The sequence below is a fragment of the Homo sapiens genome, chromosome 11, assembly GCF_000001405.40.
Source record: "Homo sapiens chromosome 11, GRCh38.p14 Primary Assembly".
Classification (NCBI taxonomy): Eukaryota; Metazoa; Chordata; class Mammalia; order Primates; family Hominidae; genus Homo; species Homo sapiens.
The window spans coordinates 27,470,640-27,488,842 of record NC_000011.10 but is presented as its reverse complement, the minus strand read 5'-3'; the positions used below and the strand labels follow the sequence as shown (position 1 = coordinate 27,488,842).

Genomic DNA, 18,203 nt, shown 5'->3' with positions numbered 1-18,203 from the left:
TTTTTTTTTTTAATCTAGAGCCCTGTAAGAACAACAACAAAAAAAGCAGAGTATGAATCTAACTCGTATATTATGTCAATATTCAATTGGATATTTTTAAGTTGGCATCTCTTCCCCAGTATATAGGTATTATTTCATTAAATAGCATTAGCACATTGAAAATACCACCTATTATTTTCTACCTATTGTTACTTTGTATCACAAAATTATAAATGATACGTATGTTGTAGCAATTAAAAATTTTTAAGAGATGAATTCTACGGAAAATGGCAGCAATTTAAGTGAATTATTTCCATAGGGGGAAAAAAAATTTAAAAAAAATAGGTTGGGTGTAGTGGCTCACGCCTGTAATCCCAACAGTTTCAGAGGCCGAGGTGGGAGGATTGCTTGAGGCCAGGATTTGGAGACCAGCCCGGGCAACATAGACCCCATTTCTACATAAATTTTTCATTAAAAAATAATGAAATAGCATTCTATTAACTGTTAATGATGGTGGAAGGAACTAACTGAAGAAATGACAATGGGAAAAATTGGAAGAAGAAAGTGATCAGCTATGGTTTTATACATTTCAATAAAATGAGCATGATTTTGAGTCTTGTTTTACTGGGTACATACCATAAAATTAATTCATTTATTCATTCACTCAACAGTATTTATTGAGCATCTATTATGTACTGGACAGTGTAGTTAAGATATAGCAGTCTACAAGATAAAATCCTGATAAGGAACACATATTCTAGTGGGAGAAGCAGAAGAACAAGAGAACAAATAACGTAATTTTAGGTAGTGACAAGTATTATAAAGTCCAGCAGGCTACGAGCGCTAGAGAGCAATAAAAAAAATTAGACTCACGGAAATTCAATCACTTGTCAAGGTGCCAGCTAAATCCCACAGTCCCTTCTCACACTGGGGTATGTCTGGAGTGGACTCAGGGACATGGGCTCAACATGTCTAAGCAGCTTATTGTGGCTTTTGTCAAAACCTCCATACAGCACCAACTGCACTTCCCATTATGCTTGTCATCACTAAGCACTCACATTACCTTTTTTTTTTTTTTTTTGAAACAGAGTTTTGAGCTCATATTTCTGGACCTCTGTCGCCCAGGCTGGGGTGCAATGGCGCAATCTCAGCTCAGTGCAACCTCCGCCTCCCAGGTTCAAGTGATTCTCCCTCCCTCAGCCTCCCAAGTAGTTGGGATTACAGGCACCACCATGCCTGACTAATTTTTGTATTTTTAGTAGACACAGGGTTTCGCCATGTTGGCCAGGCTAGACTTGAACTCCTGACCTCAGGTGATCCGCCTGCCTTGGCCTCCCAAAGTGCTGGGATTACAGGCATGAGCCACTGCACCTAACCAGCACTCATTATCTTGAAAGCACCTGCTGTGTGCTGGTGAGCCCTTTCCACCAGTTATCCTTAACACATCCATTGGCTGCCCAGCCCAGTTAGAATAGAAACCCAAGCCCCTCTCTATGACCCACCAAGCCCTGCATAATCCAGCTTCTGCTTCCCTCCCCAGCCTTCACTCATACACTTTTTCCCTCTCTGTCTCCAAGTGTCTCCAACAGGACAGGCCTTCACACTTGCGGTTCTCTCTACCTGGAACCTCCTTTGCCCTCTATTGCTATATATTTGTCAATTTTGGCTACTCCCTCCTCAAGATTATAAACTTGTTGAGGGCAGGCAGGCCCCTGTTTAGTTTTCTGTTGTGTATTTAGAGCGGAGAACAGCACCTACCACATAGTAAACAATATTTGTTCACAGAAGAAACAATTTGAAAGAAGACTGTGGTGTTATTTTTGATAGGACAGGAAAGGACATCTGAGATGACATTTAAAGAGACCTGAATGGCGTGAACTGAAGAAGCCACTCTCGGACTATCTGGGAAATCGGGGTTTTTGACAGGGACCAATAAAGAGTATCTCCCTTCCCCACTTGGGTTCTAGGTACAGTAGGAAATAAATGAGTGGCAGATGAGGGCCAGAATATGAGCTTTATTATTTATTAATTTATACTGACCACAAATGTTTGTCGGATGTCCACTATTTGCCAGCCACAGTTAGGGGCTGGGAATTCTGTGGAGAACAAAACAAAGCTCTTGCTCTCACAGAGCTGACACTCTGCTCAAGGCTGGGCAGGGGCATGTACCTGAGGCCTGAGAAGAAAATGGGCATTCTGAAAACTGGCCAGAGAAAACTTCTCAGAGAAGCCTGTGGCTGGGGGGCTCAGTCTGGCCAATTTTCAGGCATGGAATGGGCATGGTCGGGACTGAACTCTGATGGTGCCCATCCCGCAGGGGCAGAGGTTGCCCCCTCTCTAGGAGTGGCTAGGATAAGGGCCTGTTGCCTCTCAGATTACCAGTCAGATGCCACTCCACTCCCATGGAGTCAATTTTACCAAGGGTGGAAGCGGGTAGGAGTGATCACTCACATGATAAAAGCTAGAAAGGATGGTATCCCTGCATCCAGGCAAACACATGAACCTATCCATAATTATAAAATAGAATGGCTGCAAACAAAATTAAACCTTTGTTGCAAATATTGGCAGTATTGGAATTTATAATATGATATTTTTCTTTTAAAGCTAAGGAGGGAAGGACTTAATCACACAGACACACACACATACACACACACACACACTTTTCCCCCCATTGCCTTCTGTAAATACAAATAACTCCTCACAAATTTATTATGCTATATGCATAATCCTTTTCTCCTACCTTTTCACATTTGACCACAAGGTGACGCCAAAGTGCTATTGTTTCTATTTTAGAATTTTCTAGCAGTTCTTGCTAACTGAAGCTCAGACCAAAGATTTAAAATGTACTCCATCTTTTCTTTTTAATTCAAAATTTAAATTGAAATGTATTTTATAAAATTCAAAGCTTTGTAAATGTGGAGAAACAACTCCTCCCAAATAAACCCTAAATAAAACAAACATGTAAAATACCAAACTACATGAATAGTCATCTACCACTTAGTATAAAGGTTTGGGAAGGTGGTGGGGTGGTGTATTTAATACTGCTTTTTCGGTCCTTCTACTAAATATAAACAACTTTAGATGACTGGAAATTATCTTTGGCTTTGCTTCTCTTACGTGTCTTCACCCCTCACAGGATGTTTGAGAAAAGTAATTTCATAGGGGATGTGGCAGCTTCTTTTAAATAAACTGGAGACCATCGGAATCATTGCGATTAACTTGTTGTGTGTGACAATAAACTTGTCAAAAATGTTCTTTTCCGTGAAAATTTAAAATAAAAATTAAACCGAGTACAGAGTAGAAAGAGCAGTTGACCTAGATATTAGCTCCAGTTCTGTCTATAACTAGGTATGTTGTGGCCTTGGGTAATTTGGTTATCCTCTGTGGGTCTGATTTCACACTATTAAATGAGAGGATTTAGCACATATCCCCAAAGTTTCTTCTATTTCTGAGGATTTTTTTTTTTTTTTTGGAAACAGTGTCTTTTTTTGTCGTCCAGGCTGGAGTGCAATGGTGTCATCATGGCTCACTGTAACCTCAACCTCCCGGGCTCACGTGACCTCCCACCTCAGCCTCCTGAGTAGCTGGGACTATAGGTGCAGGCCACCACACCCTGCTAATTATCATTTTATATATATATATGCATATGTATACATATATAGAGAGACATTTAATGGGAAATTATAATTGTTTCATATTGTTTCCTGAAAATGCTGATACAGTGTAGGTCAAAGAAAACACCAAAAGTATAATAGAAGAGGCAGTATACGTATATTATTTAGTATATCCTAAACCTTTAGAAACTTTTTTGGAGACAAGAGTCTCCGTCACCCAGGCTGGAGTGCAGTGGCATGATCTCAGCTCACTGTAACCTCTGCCTCCTGGGTTCAAGTGATTCTGGTGCCTGAGCTTCCCAAATAGCTGAGATTACAGGCATGCACCACCATACCCAGCTATTTTTTGTATTTTTAGTAGTGACAGGGTTTCGCTGTGTTGGCCAGGCTGGTCTCAAACTCCTGGCCTCAAGTAATCCACCTGCCTCGGCTGCCCAAAGTGCTGGGATTACAGGCCTGAGTCACCATGCCCAGCCTAAAAACATTTTTTTTAAATATTAACTGTAATTTTAAAACTAAACTGCCAGGTGCAGTGGCTCACACCTGTAATCCCTGCACTTTGGGAGGCCGAGGCAGGTAGATCACGAGGTCAGGAGTTCAAGAGCAGCCTGGCCAACATGGTGAAACCCTGTCGCTACTAAAAATACAAAAATTAGCCGGGCATGGTGGCGGGCACCTGTAATCCCAGCTACTCGGGAGGCTGAGGCAGAGAATTGCCTGAACCCAGGAGGTGGAGGTTGTGGTGAACAGAGATCGCCCCACTGCACTCTAGACTGGGCAACAGAGCAAGACTCCGTCTCAAAAAACAAACTAACAAACACTAAAGTTTGCAGTTTGCTCCAGTGTATCTCAAAATCAAACTGGTAGGAACAGACTTATAAAAAGCTAATAGATATATCTAACTTGGAAGACTTGTATCCTTATGCCATATTTTATCATTTGACTACTAAAAAAAGAAACTGAATTAAAATAATCCATCACAGCATGCTTCTCCAAAACGATAGTATTAACACAATGCAAACATCAGAATGTCCAATAAAGTTAACAAGCCAAGGCAATTTTGTTACATACATTAACCCATTTATTATAGGCCAATGATGTCTCAAAGAGTAGAAGAGCGTCTACCGGTCTTTGAATTCCTTCAGTCTTCTGATGGCGACTTTACCGTGACAGCAGAAGTGGTATTGTAGGTCCAGGCACTGCCAGCCACTGTCTTCATGCAGAAACCACAGTGCCAGATCCCCGTAGCTCATCTCTTCATCTTGGTTTTGCCACAGAAAGAGCAAATGTACTTGGTGTGCTGGGTGATTTCAATTCTTCTTCACCATTTTCCGGAGGGAGGCCCCATAGCGGGTCCCATATTTACTGATGATTCTGACTTTCTTGGTGCATTTGGCCATGTCACCGCAAACTAAGTCTAAGCCCAGAGAGCTATGTGTTTTTTTGTTTGTTTGTTTGTTTGTTTGTTTGTTTTTTTAAGTAGAGATGAGGTCTCGCTGTTGCCCAAGCTGGTCTTGAACTCCTGAGCTCAAGCAATCCTCCCGCCTCAGCTTCTCAAAGTGCTGGGATTACAGGCGTAAGCCACCACACCCAGCCTTATTTCTAATTTTTAAAGCATCAAGAAGAAACAGTTTGTCACAACGTAATACAACTTTCTAACAGCCAGAAGTGCCCAAAGATGGACTACTCCCCATGGAGGTATGAATATGCCAACTCTAAGGTATCCAAGAATAGCAGGGATGCTGTTCAGCCTTCTTAAGCCTTAGGAAGGTAATTAAACTAGCGTTAATGTCTTTTCTAACCCTGTGTTTCTACATTCTGAAAGTTGAATTGTAAACTGCTTGTAGGAGAGCTCCATGTCGTACCTTATATCCTGGGGCTGCAGTGAAAGGCACCTGTCAGACCTCTCACTGTGGGGACACTAATTGACTAACAGTCCTAAGGTAAAATCCTTCACCCTGTTTGTGCCAAGGCCACACTTCCTATGGGCTGGTCCCAGCCCATGACTGAGCATGGCTGAGATACTAAGGCAGTCCTGTTCCTGGGAGACGTGAGACTCTGGCAGATAATTTTTGTGGCTTTGCTGAAATTTTATAGAACTGCACTGAAATCTAAGACTCTTTTCCTTCCTTCACCTCCTCACCTGGGGCCAGACCCACATCTCAATCTGATGGTTTCTCAGACGCCCTTAGCTCCCTCCCCATTTTCCCTTCACAATCACTTCCCCTAACAAATCTCTTGCATGAGTAATCCCATATTGATGTCTGCTTCTCAGAGGACCCACACTTGCCTTATCTTGTAGCAAAAAGTCATACGTCTTGGTTAGTGGTGGAGGCCTACATCAGAATCAGGAACTTTTTAAACACTGGGAATTCAGGGACCCACAGAGACCTTCTATAATAGAATCAATGGAGATGGAATCTTGGAACTTCTGTATTACAAACCTTCCCAGGGTGATTTACATGCAGACAGCCCTGCATCAGTCAAAACTCTTCAGTACCTAGCGGAGTACATTTTGAAAAGTAGGTATGTGGTAAATAGTCCTTGAAAAACAAAATCCAGCTGGGTGCAGTGGCTCATGCCTGTAATTCCAGCACTTTGGGAGGCCGAGGCGGGGTGGATCACCTGAGGTCAGGAGTTCGAGACCAGTCTGGCCAACATGGTGAAACCCCGTCTCTACCAAAAATACAAAATTAGCCAGGCATGGTAGTGCAGGCCTGTAATCCCAGCTACTTGGGAGGCTGAGACAGGAGAATTGCTTGAACCCAGGAGGTGGAGGTTGCAGTGAGCCAAGATCATGTCACTGCACTCCAGCCTGGGCAACAGAGTGAAACTCCATCTCAAAAAAAAAAAAAAAAAATTCAAAAAATGTTGAAAAGCTTGACAAGTTTGTGTTATTTTAGAATAAAAGGGGCAAATTGGTAGAATTACTATAAAGTTTTTCCCTATTATCGCAACATCCTTCATTTTCTCTTTCATATCAAACATTTTCTAAATTTTCTCTTACGTTCTACAGATCACGAAGTATGTTTTAACATTAGCCTGAGGCAGAGGGAGAACGAGAGAGAGAGAGAGAGAGAGAGAGAGGTATTAGCAGATATTACCAGATTTTGCCAACCAGTCCTAGAAAATACCATCTTCAGCATCATCCTGACACCCAGCACCACTAACCCAGCCTTGAAGCTTTCTTTGCTTTGCCCCTTTCCAAAGTAATCTTGGAAATTACAAATGACTGGCAGTTTGCCTGTGTTTTTAAAAGCACTGCTTCAGGGTGTTTTATTTTGAAAATTAAAAGACATTTTCAAAAACTTTTGGATTGTTAACCTTTTCATTCTGGCTGCCGCTTTTCTTATTTGAAGATAGCCATGGTAGCTGTCACTAGACAAAAATAACTTAACAGCTTGGGAATTAGCAAACAGGTATTTAAGAGTGTCTTTTTTTTTTTTTTTTTTTTTTTTTTGAGACAGTATTTGGTGTCTAGTTAGGAAAAAGACAATTTACAGAATATGGAGTCTTCCCTCCACATCCTACCCAATATTTCTCCTTGGGTCTACATTTAATTTCCTCTTTCCATTTCAGATTTCTTTCAAAATATTTGATGTAGACAAAGAAGAGCTTTTCAGAACATTTCAGCACCACCACCACCACCACAGCCCCCTACTCCACCCTAAGTGCTGGTTTTCTGATTACACATCATCAGGGCATGCGCAGATTTTGCATGTAGTTTCTTGAAATAATTGTGTCATGCTAAGATCTTTCTAAAATGTTCACTTTTATTTGGGATTCTGAGGAAGTGAAAACTACCCAATTCCATGGCTGAACTTCGTGTTGGTATTTTGGTCTTAACAAATTATCAGCTTGACCAGGTGGTAATCTTCCTGCTTTTCTATTCTGATTTTTCTACCTTTACTTTTCTATCTCTTTTCTTATAACATCTAGTTTCTTTAAGAATCATTTAATTTTTGCCTACTTCTATTTCTCACCAGTAGTTTATGCACTCAGACTTTGGAACGAACCCACATGTGGTTCTGTAATTCAGAAGTTGCTCCCTTGAGTCTCATTTTCCTCTTGTGTTAGAATTGAAAGGGAAAGATCAGGAAAAGAAAATCAGATTTAGAAAAGATTAGGCATTGCCGGGCACGGTGGCTCACGCCTGTAATCCCAGCACTTTGGCAGGCCGAGGCGGGCAGATCACCTGAGGTCAGGAGTTCGAGACCAGACTAACCAACAGGAAGAAACCCTGTCTCTACTAAAAATACAAAATTAGCCAGGTACGGTGGCACATGCCTGTAATCCCAGCTACTCGGGAGGCTGAGGCAGGAAAATCACTTGAACCCAGGAGGCGGAGGTTGTGGTAAGCCAAGATTGTGCCATGGCACTGAAGCCTGGGCAACAAGAGCGAAACTCTCTCGAAAAAAACAAACAAGAAAAAAGAAAATGAAAAGATTAGGCATTTCCATATTTCTGATATTTATCCAAATGTTTTCAAATTTTGGGTCAATATGGGTCTTCAGAAGTATTGAAAGGCTATCTAACCCCGTAGTATCCAACCAGCTCAAAAGAGTAAGATGCTTTTTGGTGATGTTTTGAAAAAGGGCTGTCTTCAAGAATGGCCTTCAACCAGTCGTGCCAGAAGCCTCACTACGAGCCCTCGCATCCCAGAGGTCCCATCAGTTCTACACAAGTGGCATGTGCTGCTCCCAGCCATCCTTCACCCTTGCTCGAGCTCTAGGTACAGTAAAGAGGGCCCAGAGCCCAAATTTGGTCACTTGTGTAGCTTAAAAGGATGTTTAAAATTTGTCGACAATTTTACATTGTTATTTTTTGTTCAAAATAAATCATTGTTTTCAATTAGCCCTAAAAAATTAGATGCTGTTTCCTGTGTCCAATAGGACCACACTAGAGATGTTGATAAGGTGTGTAAAAGTATCTTATTTGAGACCATGATAGAATGACTGCAAGCCTCTGGGGCTTAATGTGAAAGCTCTTCCATCCCAAAGCTTCCCATGCAAATATGGAGGCATCAAAGCCTAGAAACTATGCACTACCTTGAAGATTCATTCACTAGAGTAGGTGCATGTAAGATATCTGATCAGTAGGGATTAGACTTGATATTCTTTTCTTTATTCCCTAACCCTATCATGTCTTGAAATATTTATGTATGTATATTTACGCATTTATGTATACAAATCTTTGTGTGTGTATTTATATGTATATGTATATAAATTTATATGCATATAAATACACATACACACATAGTTTCTTTTTTTTTTTTTAGACAGAGTCTTACTCTATTGCCCAGGCTGGAGAGCAGTGGCATGATCTTGGCTCACTGCAGCCTCTGCCTCCCAGGTTCAAGCGATTCTCCTGCCTCAGCCTCCCCAGTAGCTGGGATTACAGGTACCCACCAATTTTGTATTTTTAGTAGAGATGGGGTTTCACCACGTTAGCCAGGCTGGACTCGAATTTCTGACCTCAAGTGATCAGCCAGCCTGGGCCTCCCAAGGTTGGGATTACAGACATGAGCTACTGCACCCAGCATAGGTACATGTATGTATGTATGTATGTATGTACGTGTGTGTGTGTATATATATATACGCACACACGCGCACACACACACACACACACACATATATATATATATATATATTTTTTTTTTTTTTTTTTTGAGATGCAGTTTCACTCTGTCACCCAGGCTGGAGTGCAGTGGCGCGATCTCCGCTCACTGCAACCTCCGCCTCCTGGGTTCAAGCGATTCTTTTGCCTCAGCCTTCTGCGTAGCTTGGACTACAGGTGCACGTTGCCCCACCGGGCTAATTTTTGTATTTTTAATAGAGACAGGGTTTCACCATGTTGGTCAGGCTGGTCTGGTTTTGGACTCCTGACCTCGTGATCCACCCATCTCGGCCTCCCAAAGTGCTGGGATTACAGGCATGAGCCACGGCGCCCGGCTGATACATGTATATTTTTAATGTATAGCCAGCTTCTCACTTCAGGTAGCTTTTTGGCACCTATGCTTTTATTTAAGCTCGATAACTATTTCTCACAGGTTATGTTATTATTTGGGTCAAAAATATTTAGGGTGCCTTTTACACAAAGGGTGAGGTAAACTCTAAGTGCCCAGGACTCCCTCTGTGTCCTTCATTCCAGAAAGCAGGGCATTTTTAAGCTTGCACTCTGCTTGGCTCATTCTGCAACATAATCTTCAGCATGAGGTCATCATGGAGACTGGAATTTTGAAAGTGCTTGATCTTGGCCGGGCGCGGTGGCTCATGCCTGTAATCCCAGCACTTTGGGAGGCCGAGGTGGGCGGATCACCTGAGGTTGGGAGTTCAAGACCAGCCTGACGAACACGGAGAAACCCCATCTCTACTAAAAATACAAAATTAGCTGGGGTGGTGGCGCATGCCTGTAATCCCAGCTACTTGGGAGGCTGAGGCAGGAGAATCGCTTGAACCCAGGAGGTGGAGGTTGTGGTGAGCCGAGATCGCGCCATTGCACTCCAGCCGGGGCAACAAGAGCGAAACTCCGTCTCAAAAAAAAAGAAAGAAAAGAAAGTGCGTGATCTTAACTTGCAAGAAAAGATGGTTACCCTTTGAGGTATGTCTCTCTGAATTTTACATAATCACGTAAATTGTTTCCAAAACAATCAGTAGGCTGGGCACGATGGCTCATGCCTATAACCCTAGCACTTTGGGAGGCTGAGGTGGGAGGCTCCCTTGAAGCCAGGAATTTGAGACCAGTCTGGGCAACATAGCAATACTAGGTCTCAACAAAAAAATAATAATAATTAGCTGGCATGGTGGTGTGAACCTACAGTCATAGCTACTCTGGAGGCTGAGGAGGATGGATCCCTTGAGCCCAGGCGTTTGAGGCTGCAATGAGCTAAGATCATTGCATGCAACTGGGTGACACAGGAAGATCCTGTCCTTTAAAAACAAGCAAGCAAACAAAAACAAACAGAAATAATGAGTATATTTTAATAAAGGATTAACATCCTATAAAACAGGGTTAGCAAACTATGGCCTATGGGCCAGAACTAGTCCAACACCTGTTTTTGTCAAAAAAATCTTATTGGAATACAATGACATCTATTTTGTATTATGGTTGCTTTTGTGCTGCATGGCAGAGTTGAATAGTTGTGACAGAGACCATATGGCCCACAAAGTCCAAAATATTTACTACTGGGCCCTTAACAGAAAACCTTTGCTGATCCCCACTATAAAACAATAAAAGCAAATATAAACAACCCAATGGAAAACAAACAGGCCAAGGAAATGAATGGGCAATGCATAGAACAGCACACAAGAATGTCCAATAAATACATGAAAATATGCCGTTGGAATCAGGGAAACTCAAATTTAAACCACACAGATTTCATTTCCTATGCATTAGATTCGTAAACATTTAAGCCTTACAATATCAGGTATTGGTAAGATGTTGAGTAACAGGGGTTGTTATTCCCTTCTGAGGGAAGCACAGCTAACTGCAGTCACTTTTGAGAGCAATTTAGCAACAACATCTAATAATGGTAAATGCACATAATCTGCAACCTAATAATTCTGCTTTTTTTTTTTTTTTTTTTTAAGACAGGGTCTTGCTCTTGTCCCAGGCTGGAGGGCAATGGTCCAATCATGCACTCCCAAGCTAGAGTGCAGTGGTGCAACTTTGACCTCCTGAGCTCAAGCTGTCCTCCCACCTCAGCCTCCTAAGTAGGTGGGACTACAAGTGTGGACCACCAAGCTTGGCCAATTTTTAAAATTTTTTGTAGAGATGGGGTCTTGCTATGTTGCCCAGGCTGGTCTCAAACTCCTGGGCTCAAATGATCCTCCCACCTTGGCCTTTCAAAGTATTGGGATTACATGCATGAGCCACTGTGCCCAGCAGCAATTCCACTTCCAGACACACACAATACACACATATACACATGAATATTTAAAGAAAATACACACATTTTAGAGAAACTCTTACATGTATGAACAAGCAAATATATACAAAAATATTCATAGTTGAATTGTCATTAGAAAAAATAAAAATAATCTTAACCAAGAGGATGGATAAATAAATACTGAGTATAATGATGAATTTTATGTGTCAACTTGACTGGGCAAAGGATAGCCAGATAGCTGGTAAAACATTACATCTTGGATGTGTCTGTGAGGGTATTTCTGGAAGAGATTCAGTAGACTGAGTAGGAAGATGCCCTTGTGCATCCCATTGAGGGCCTGAATAGAACAAAAAGACAATGGAAGGCCGGGTGCAGTGGGTCACATCTGTAATCCCAGCATTTTGGGAGGCTGAGGTGGGTGGATCACTTGAGGTCAGGAGTTCAAGACCAGCCTGGCCAACACAGTGAAACCCCTTGTCTACTAAAAATACAAAAATTAGCTGGGTGTGGTGGTGCATGCCTGTAGTCCCAGCTACTTGAGAGGCTGAGGCAGGAGAATCGCTTGAACCCAGGAGGTGGAGGCTGCAGTGAGCTGAGATCACACCACTACACTCCATCCTGGGCCGCAGAGAGAGACTCCATCTCAAAAACAAAACAAAACAAAACACCATTTAAAAAAACAAACAAACAAAAAACGGTGGAAGAGTGAAAAGATAAATTTGCTTTCTGCTTGAGCTGGGACATCTGTCTTCTCTTCCCCTCAGACTTCACTGCTCCTGGTTCTCAGGCCTTCAGACTTCGACCAAAACATCATTGACTCCCCTGGGTCTCAGGCCTTCAAGTTTGGACTAAAACAAATCCACTAGCTTTCCTGGGCCTTCAGCATGTAGATGGAAGATTGTCACTTAGTCTCCATAATTGTATAAGTCAGTGCCTCACAATAAATCTCTTTCTGTATTTCTATATATATCCTATTGGTTCTGTTCTCTGGAGAACCCTAACACACTGGGCATTTCATTAAGTGGAATATTATATAGTAATAAAAATGAAGTTACAAGCCTCATAGTTCGTGAATGTCGATTACACTCACAGGTTGAGTGAAAAAGCAGGTTGCAGAACAGTACGCAATGATGTTGATTTATATATGAAAAACAATGCTGTTTATTGTTTAGGGATACATGCATACGAAAAGCATGAAAATATGCATGGGAATTAACTACAAAGTTTAGGAAACTGCTTACTTCTCAGGGAGAGGAAGAAAAGGAATATGATTGGGGAGTGGTACAAAGGGAGCTTCAACTACATTCGTAATATTTCTTAAGCTGATTGCTGTTAACTCTTTTTCTAAGTCGAAATAGTTCATAAAAAGTGAAATTCTACATGTTTGAGGACTTTTATCCAGTCAATCATTACAGCACTCAGAGCCCCCACTGTATCTGAGCTGTTGTTGTAACAGGGCACCTTGAACCGTTCACCCAACAGGTAGGGCCTCTGCATATACTTGTTCAGGTTCTATGTTTACAAGAGTTCTTGGGTAAAGGGGTGGTAGAACCGAAGTCCAGCTTATCCATCAGTCAACAAGTCCTGTGTGCTCTGCACAAAGACACCAAGGCAAGTATCACTACGATAGGGTACTTTCTTCATGGCCCATAAGCTCCATGCCACATATGCAGAGGGGTTGCAGCCCAGTTCTATTTTTTATCTAGCCTGTGGATGCCGCAAATTTACTTACACACAACCAATGAAAACTTTAAGAGGAACCGATCTGTAGACAGAGACCCTATTATTTTTTGCTTGCCGTCAATTTTTATTTGGTTTATCTCAGTATCTTTCCAGTCCTTATGATTTATTTAAGAGCTGATCATTTTTCTCTAGTTATCTGAGATATTACCTTAATCACTGGTTTTTTGTTTTTTGTCTTTATACTTTCTTGGGACATCTTATCCAAGAGATGGAGACTAATTGACCAATGTATCTCTAATGCAAAGCATACAAAATGTACCAAATAAGAAATACAAACACTTCAATATATCTTATCTTTTCTGTTCCCTACCCAAGTCTTTTGTTCCTGATCTTTTATCTTCTTGGCTAAGCTGCAAATTTGAATCTTCCTTTCTTACATTTGTCATCTAATAGACAATAGGAATTTATTTTTTAGTAAAATCTGCATCTCCCCTTTTTTCAAAATATAAATCTCTCCTTTCACCTAAGTTTTCAGCCATAAGATTTTATTATTTGAAGACAAAGAATAAAGTTCTCCAAGTGTGGTTCATGAATCACCTGTGTCACTTTCACTTGCTGTGCAACAAAATGCTGGTTTCTGGGCCCCACTTAGGCCTACTAAATCATTCTGCATTTTTAATCAAGATTTGCATATAAGCCGGACTCCGTGGCTCATGACTGTAATCCCAGCACTTTGGGAGGCCAAGGCAGGTGGATCACTTGAGGTGAGGAGTTTGAGGCCAGCCTGGCCAACATGAGAAACCCCATCTCTACTAAAAAAAAAAAAAAAAAAAAAAAAAAAAAAGTAGCTAAACATGGTGGTGGGCACCTGTAATACCAGCTACTGGGGAGGCTGAGGCAGGAGAATCACTTGAACCCGGGAGGTGGAGGTTGCAGTGAGCCAAGATCACGCCACTGGACACAGTGAGTGAGAGTCCGTTTCAAAAAAAAAAAAAAAAAAGAAGAGATCTTAAAGAAACGATTACAGAAACTAACTTTACAATTTCTTCCTTATTTGTTCATGACAGTTGCTAGAAAATAATGGAAATGATTTAGACGATGAAAGCCTATTTAGGGAAGGCTCTAAGAGTACCAGATTAGGAGCCAGGAGCCCAGGAGCTGTTCCGTGATGATGTTGGGCAGAACACACTCTCTCTCGAGCCTCAGATTTCTTATCTATAAAACCAGAGTTTTCTGGGGGTCTTTAAGTTGTCTTTCAGCCCTGCAGTGAGAGGAGATATGTCATTCCTAAAACTTGAAATGAAGGCATATGTTTATTTATTAACTCTCTAGCTTCTAGACAGATTTACTGTATGTGACTTATGTGCCCAACCTGACATTATCTTTTAGATAAACTCCCAAATACAAAGATGATAAAATTTTTTCATTTTAAACTTATAGGTCTGCATCAACCTGTTTCCATTGTCCTAAGTTTTATTTACATACGATGGCTAGTCAACTTTATATGATAATTATCTTTAAATCCTGCTTTTTTTTTTTTTTTTTTTTTTTTTTTTTGAGACAGAGTTTTGCTCTTGTTGCCCAGGCTGGAATGCAATGGCGCGATCTCCAGCTCACCGCAACCTCCGCCTCCCGGGCTCAAGCAATTCGCCTGCCTCAGCCTCCCGAGTAGCTGGGATTACAGGCATCTGCCACCACACCCGGCTAATTTTGTATTTTTAGTAGAGACGGGGTTTCTTCATGTTGGTCAGGGTGGTCTAGAACTCCCAACCTCAGGTGATCCGCCCGCCGCAGCCTCCCAAAGTGTTGGGATTACAGGCGTGAGCCACCGCGCCCGGCCGAATCCTGCTTGTTTTAATGTATTCATTAAAAATGTCTCCATTATAGAGTAAAACGACTCAACGCCATGGCAGAGAGCAAGAAACGAAGTACCCTTAAAGCCGTAGTTGGTACAGGTAATGATTCCGTGGGGTCTATTAGGCCACAGGGACTCAAAATCCAGAAGAGGAGGGAATGCTGATAATTACCTAACACCAACGTTGCTGCTGGCTTCTCAGCCGTAGTCACCTCCCACTCAGATGTTTTGGAAATTGTCCAGTGTTCAGAAACATCACTTTCTCTGACCTTTTACAAAATTCCTGTGTTTCAGGATTTTAAAGTGCGTGAGAAAGGAGTCTAATTTGCAGTCACCAAAAACACCAAATACAGAGAGAGGACTGGGGAGAATGAATTGCTAAGACTTAGCTACCAAATGTGTATCAAGATAGGTGTAAAGATCCCAGGTGAAGTGAGGCACTGGAGAGGGTACACTTTTAACTTAGTGTATAGCTAAAACCCAAAGATGTGTGTCAGATCGAGGGAAACTTTTTTCCTCCTCTTCAAAATCTTTTTTCCGTTTGCAGAGCTCCAGACGTCCTCGCCCTTTGGAACAGCGGAGAGTCATTTAAAACTTAACTGAACGCTGGAGGGAAGTTCTACTTACCAGGTCATCCAATTTAGGAGATCCAATTTCTGCGGAGGGAACAAAAAGACGGGTGGGGGAGGGAAAAACTAGACCCCTTGTCCTACTATCCTTCTACCTTCAATCCACAACCTGCCAGACAAATCCAGCCAAGTCAAGATTTTGCCTTGAACCACCACCACCACCACCACCACCACCGCCGCCACCACCACCACCACCACCGCCGCCACCACCACAACCACCACCACCTTGTCACTCACGCCCGAGAAACACGCCCCTCTGGTCCTCCTCTTGGCCAATGGCGGCTCTCCTCTCTGCATAGTAATGAGCTCGAGACCTCCCCGGGCCAATGGCGCTCCGGGAGAAGGGATACTTTTGCATGTACCTAAGTGATTTGCATAAGCCAGCGGCCGGGGGTTTGGGAACCAGAGCGTGCAACCCTAGAAGGGAAAAGGACGGGAAGAGATTGAGCCGCGGCTGGGAGACAGCGAGCCAGAGTCTGGGTGTTTGTGCGAGAGCCACGGCGGGGGCTGGGGCGAGTGGCCGGCATGGCTGAAGGCTGCGCTCTGCAACCTTGAAGAGCCGCTGCATTGAGAGGCCAGGGACAGGGAGACCGGTGCGATGGCAGAGCGCGGCCCCCGCCGCTGCGCCGGGCCGGCCCGGCTGGCGTGAGCCGCCGGAGGAGCGGGGCTGCCTCTGCGCGTCCATGGAGCAGCGGGAAGGGCGAAACTCCGGAGCGCCGCGTCCCTGCGCCGCTGCGGCGGACTGCTGAAGGGGCCGAGCCCGCGCGGACCGCCGAGGAAGAGACCCCCGCTCCAGCCCGCAGGCCGGCTGCCCGGGGGCGGCGGGGGACATCGGAGGGCAGCGGAGCGAGCAGCGCCGCGGGAGAGGCCGGCGCGGGAGGCGGCCGCAGCAATGCCGGGCCCGCTAGGGCTGCTCTGCTTCCTCGCCCTGGGGCTGCTCGGCTCGGCCGGGCCCAGCGGCGCGGCGCCGCCTCTCTGCGCGGCGCCCTGCAGCTGCGACGGCGACCGTCGGGTGGACTGCTCCGGGAAGGGGCTGACGGCCGTGCCCGAGGGGCTCAGCGCCTTCACCCAAGCGCTGTGAGTGCGGGCGGCGGGGACGCGAGGGGGGGGGAGGAAACGGGGCCCAGCGGGGGGCGCCGCGGGGCGGAGCCAGGGGTCAGTCCCACCCCACCCCGCCCCGCCGCCGCCCGGGCCTGGGGAGGGGGTCCGCCGGTCACCTGCGTGCGGGCTGCCTGGCACCCACTCCTGTGCCACGGGCTTTCCGCACTTTGCTAGTCCGGGTTCGAGCCAGCAGTAGCTTTCGTTCCCAGACTTTTTGGGCACAAGCACCCTCCCACCCCACCGCGCACACCCCCAACTCACAAGTGCATCTGGGGCCAAGAAGGAGGAAGTAATCTAAAAACGCTTGCCCCTGGCAGCCTGTCCACGCGACCTTCCCTTCTCATGAGGGCCCTCGCTCAGCGGGCAGGAGTTCCGCTACTGGCGGGGCTGAGGGCGCCGAGAACTTGGCCTCAGTCTGCATACCGAGGCATGTCTCGTGGGGAAGCACCTGGAGCCTCCTGGGTTCCAGCATGTGGGGAGAAGAAACACCTGTACCTCAGTCAGGGCGAATCTCCTTCCAATTTGGCCCCATCCAGGTAGTGCGTCCCGGCACCTACCTCGGCCCAGTTCCACTCGGGACTACCCCACTAACGCCCAGGCTTCTGCAGCACGCAGGGGAGTCCGAGAAAACAAGGGAGAATTACAGGGTTCTGTTGGTGGACATGCTCTTACCCAACAAGGCCTTTTAAAGAAGGAATGCTGACCTGAGGTGCAGGATGTTGGAAGAGAAGCAAGTTCCGGAGCATATGCTCAGCCCAGGCTGCAAGGTAGCAGCAGGTTTCTAATGCACCTTCACGCAGCCAGCAGATCTTTTCTTTTGAGCTGCCTGAGATCGAGAGACACACTGAAATGTTTCAGACTTACAAAATCGCCCTGCCAAAACGGACTTGAGAGCTTTAGACGTTCCCTTGAGAAAAGAAGAGGAATCTGAACTAGGTTGTGGAGGTGGTGGCAAAGGCCACGGATAGAGGAGGAACAGGGTAGGGTTTTTGTGTTCTTATTGCTTCTTGCGTTGCGTGGCCAGCTGAATGCTTAAATCAGGAGCAGTCGAAGAAACGTGTGAGAGAGGAAGGGATCCTGAGGGGCCCTAGGGTAGAGGGAATTTCCTTTTACCTGTAGTGGAAGGGACCTCTTAGAAATAGACAGTTTTAAAGGACCCTGTGAAGAAATCTTTATGCAGGCAGGAGCATTGCTGTATTTCCAGGTGGGTGGTGGCAAAGGTGTTCCGCTTGCCCTCTCAGGATGGACTTTTAGTGAGCATCGAGGCCTGTTGTCTTGGAACCTGTTTCATTCTTCTACCTTCAGCCTTCCCCTCCCCATTTGTTATTTTTCCTGTCTCAGGTTAGTTTTAGTTATGTATTTGAGGTTTTTTTTTTTTTTCAGTATAGTGAAGTTTAACTTGTCATTAAAAAAAAAAGTTAACTTTGCAGTGAAGAGCATTTTGTTCATAAAGT

General features: G+C 44.3%; 1 protein-coding gene, 1 long non-coding RNA gene and 1 pseudogene across 4 annotated transcripts in view, besides 3 other annotated features; 1 reads left to right on the top strand and 2 right to left on the bottom strand.

The window, feature by feature from the left end:
• Nucleotides 1-4,451: 4,451 nt before the first annotated feature.
• RPL37AP7 (ribosomal protein L37a pseudogene 7) lies at nucleotides 4,452-5,024 on the bottom strand (annotated as a pseudogene).
• On the bottom strand, nucleotides 6,410-17,112 carry LGR4-AS1 (LGR4 antisense RNA 1). 2 transcript variants are annotated; one of them, NR_131169.1, is made up of 5 exons: nucleotides 17,011-17,112; nucleotides 15,886-16,065; nucleotides 15,192-15,675; nucleotides 14,297-14,425; nucleotides 12,622-13,074 (listed from the first exon to the last, which is right to left on the bottom strand). It is a non-coding gene; the product is annotated as an LGR4 antisense RNA 1 (long non-coding RNA). The 2 variants fall into 2 exon arrangements; NR_131170.1 differs by lacking the exons at nucleotides 12,622-13,074; nucleotides 14,297-14,425 and adding an exon at nucleotides 6,410-6,635 and having other exon boundaries at nucleotides 15,647-15,675.
• Nucleotides 16,053-18,203, top strand: part of LGR4 (leucine rich repeat containing G protein-coupled receptor 4) — a 106,830-nt gene continuing 104,679 nt past the window's right edge. For both annotated transcript variants that reach the window (NM_001346432.2, NM_018490.5), the window contains exon 1: nucleotides 16,053-16,725. In NM_001346432.2, the coding sequence (NP_001333361.1) occupies nucleotides 16,541-16,725 (185 nt within the window). In that variant the 5' untranslated portion in view covers nucleotides 16,053-16,540. The remainder of the gene's footprint in view (nucleotides 16,726-18,203) is intronic.
• Nucleotides 16,280-16,329: a silencer, noted in NCBI's record as "silent region_3211". NCBI's record gives its function as "represses an Ori minimal core promoter by ATAC-STARR-seq in GM12878 lymphoblastoid cells {active_cell/tissue: GM12878}" and the evidence as "EXISTENCE:reporter gene assay evidence [ECO:0000049][PMID:35858748]".
• Nucleotides 16,460-16,629: a silencer, noted in NCBI's record as "silent region_3210". NCBI's record gives its function as "represses an Ori minimal core promoter by ATAC-STARR-seq in GM12878 lymphoblastoid cells {active_cell/tissue: GM12878}" and the evidence as "EXISTENCE:reporter gene assay evidence [ECO:0000049][PMID:35858748]".
• Nucleotides 16,880-16,939: a silencer, noted in NCBI's record as "silent region_3209". NCBI's record gives its function as "represses an Ori minimal core promoter by ATAC-STARR-seq in GM12878 lymphoblastoid cells {active_cell/tissue: GM12878}" and the evidence as "EXISTENCE:reporter gene assay evidence [ECO:0000049][PMID:35858748]".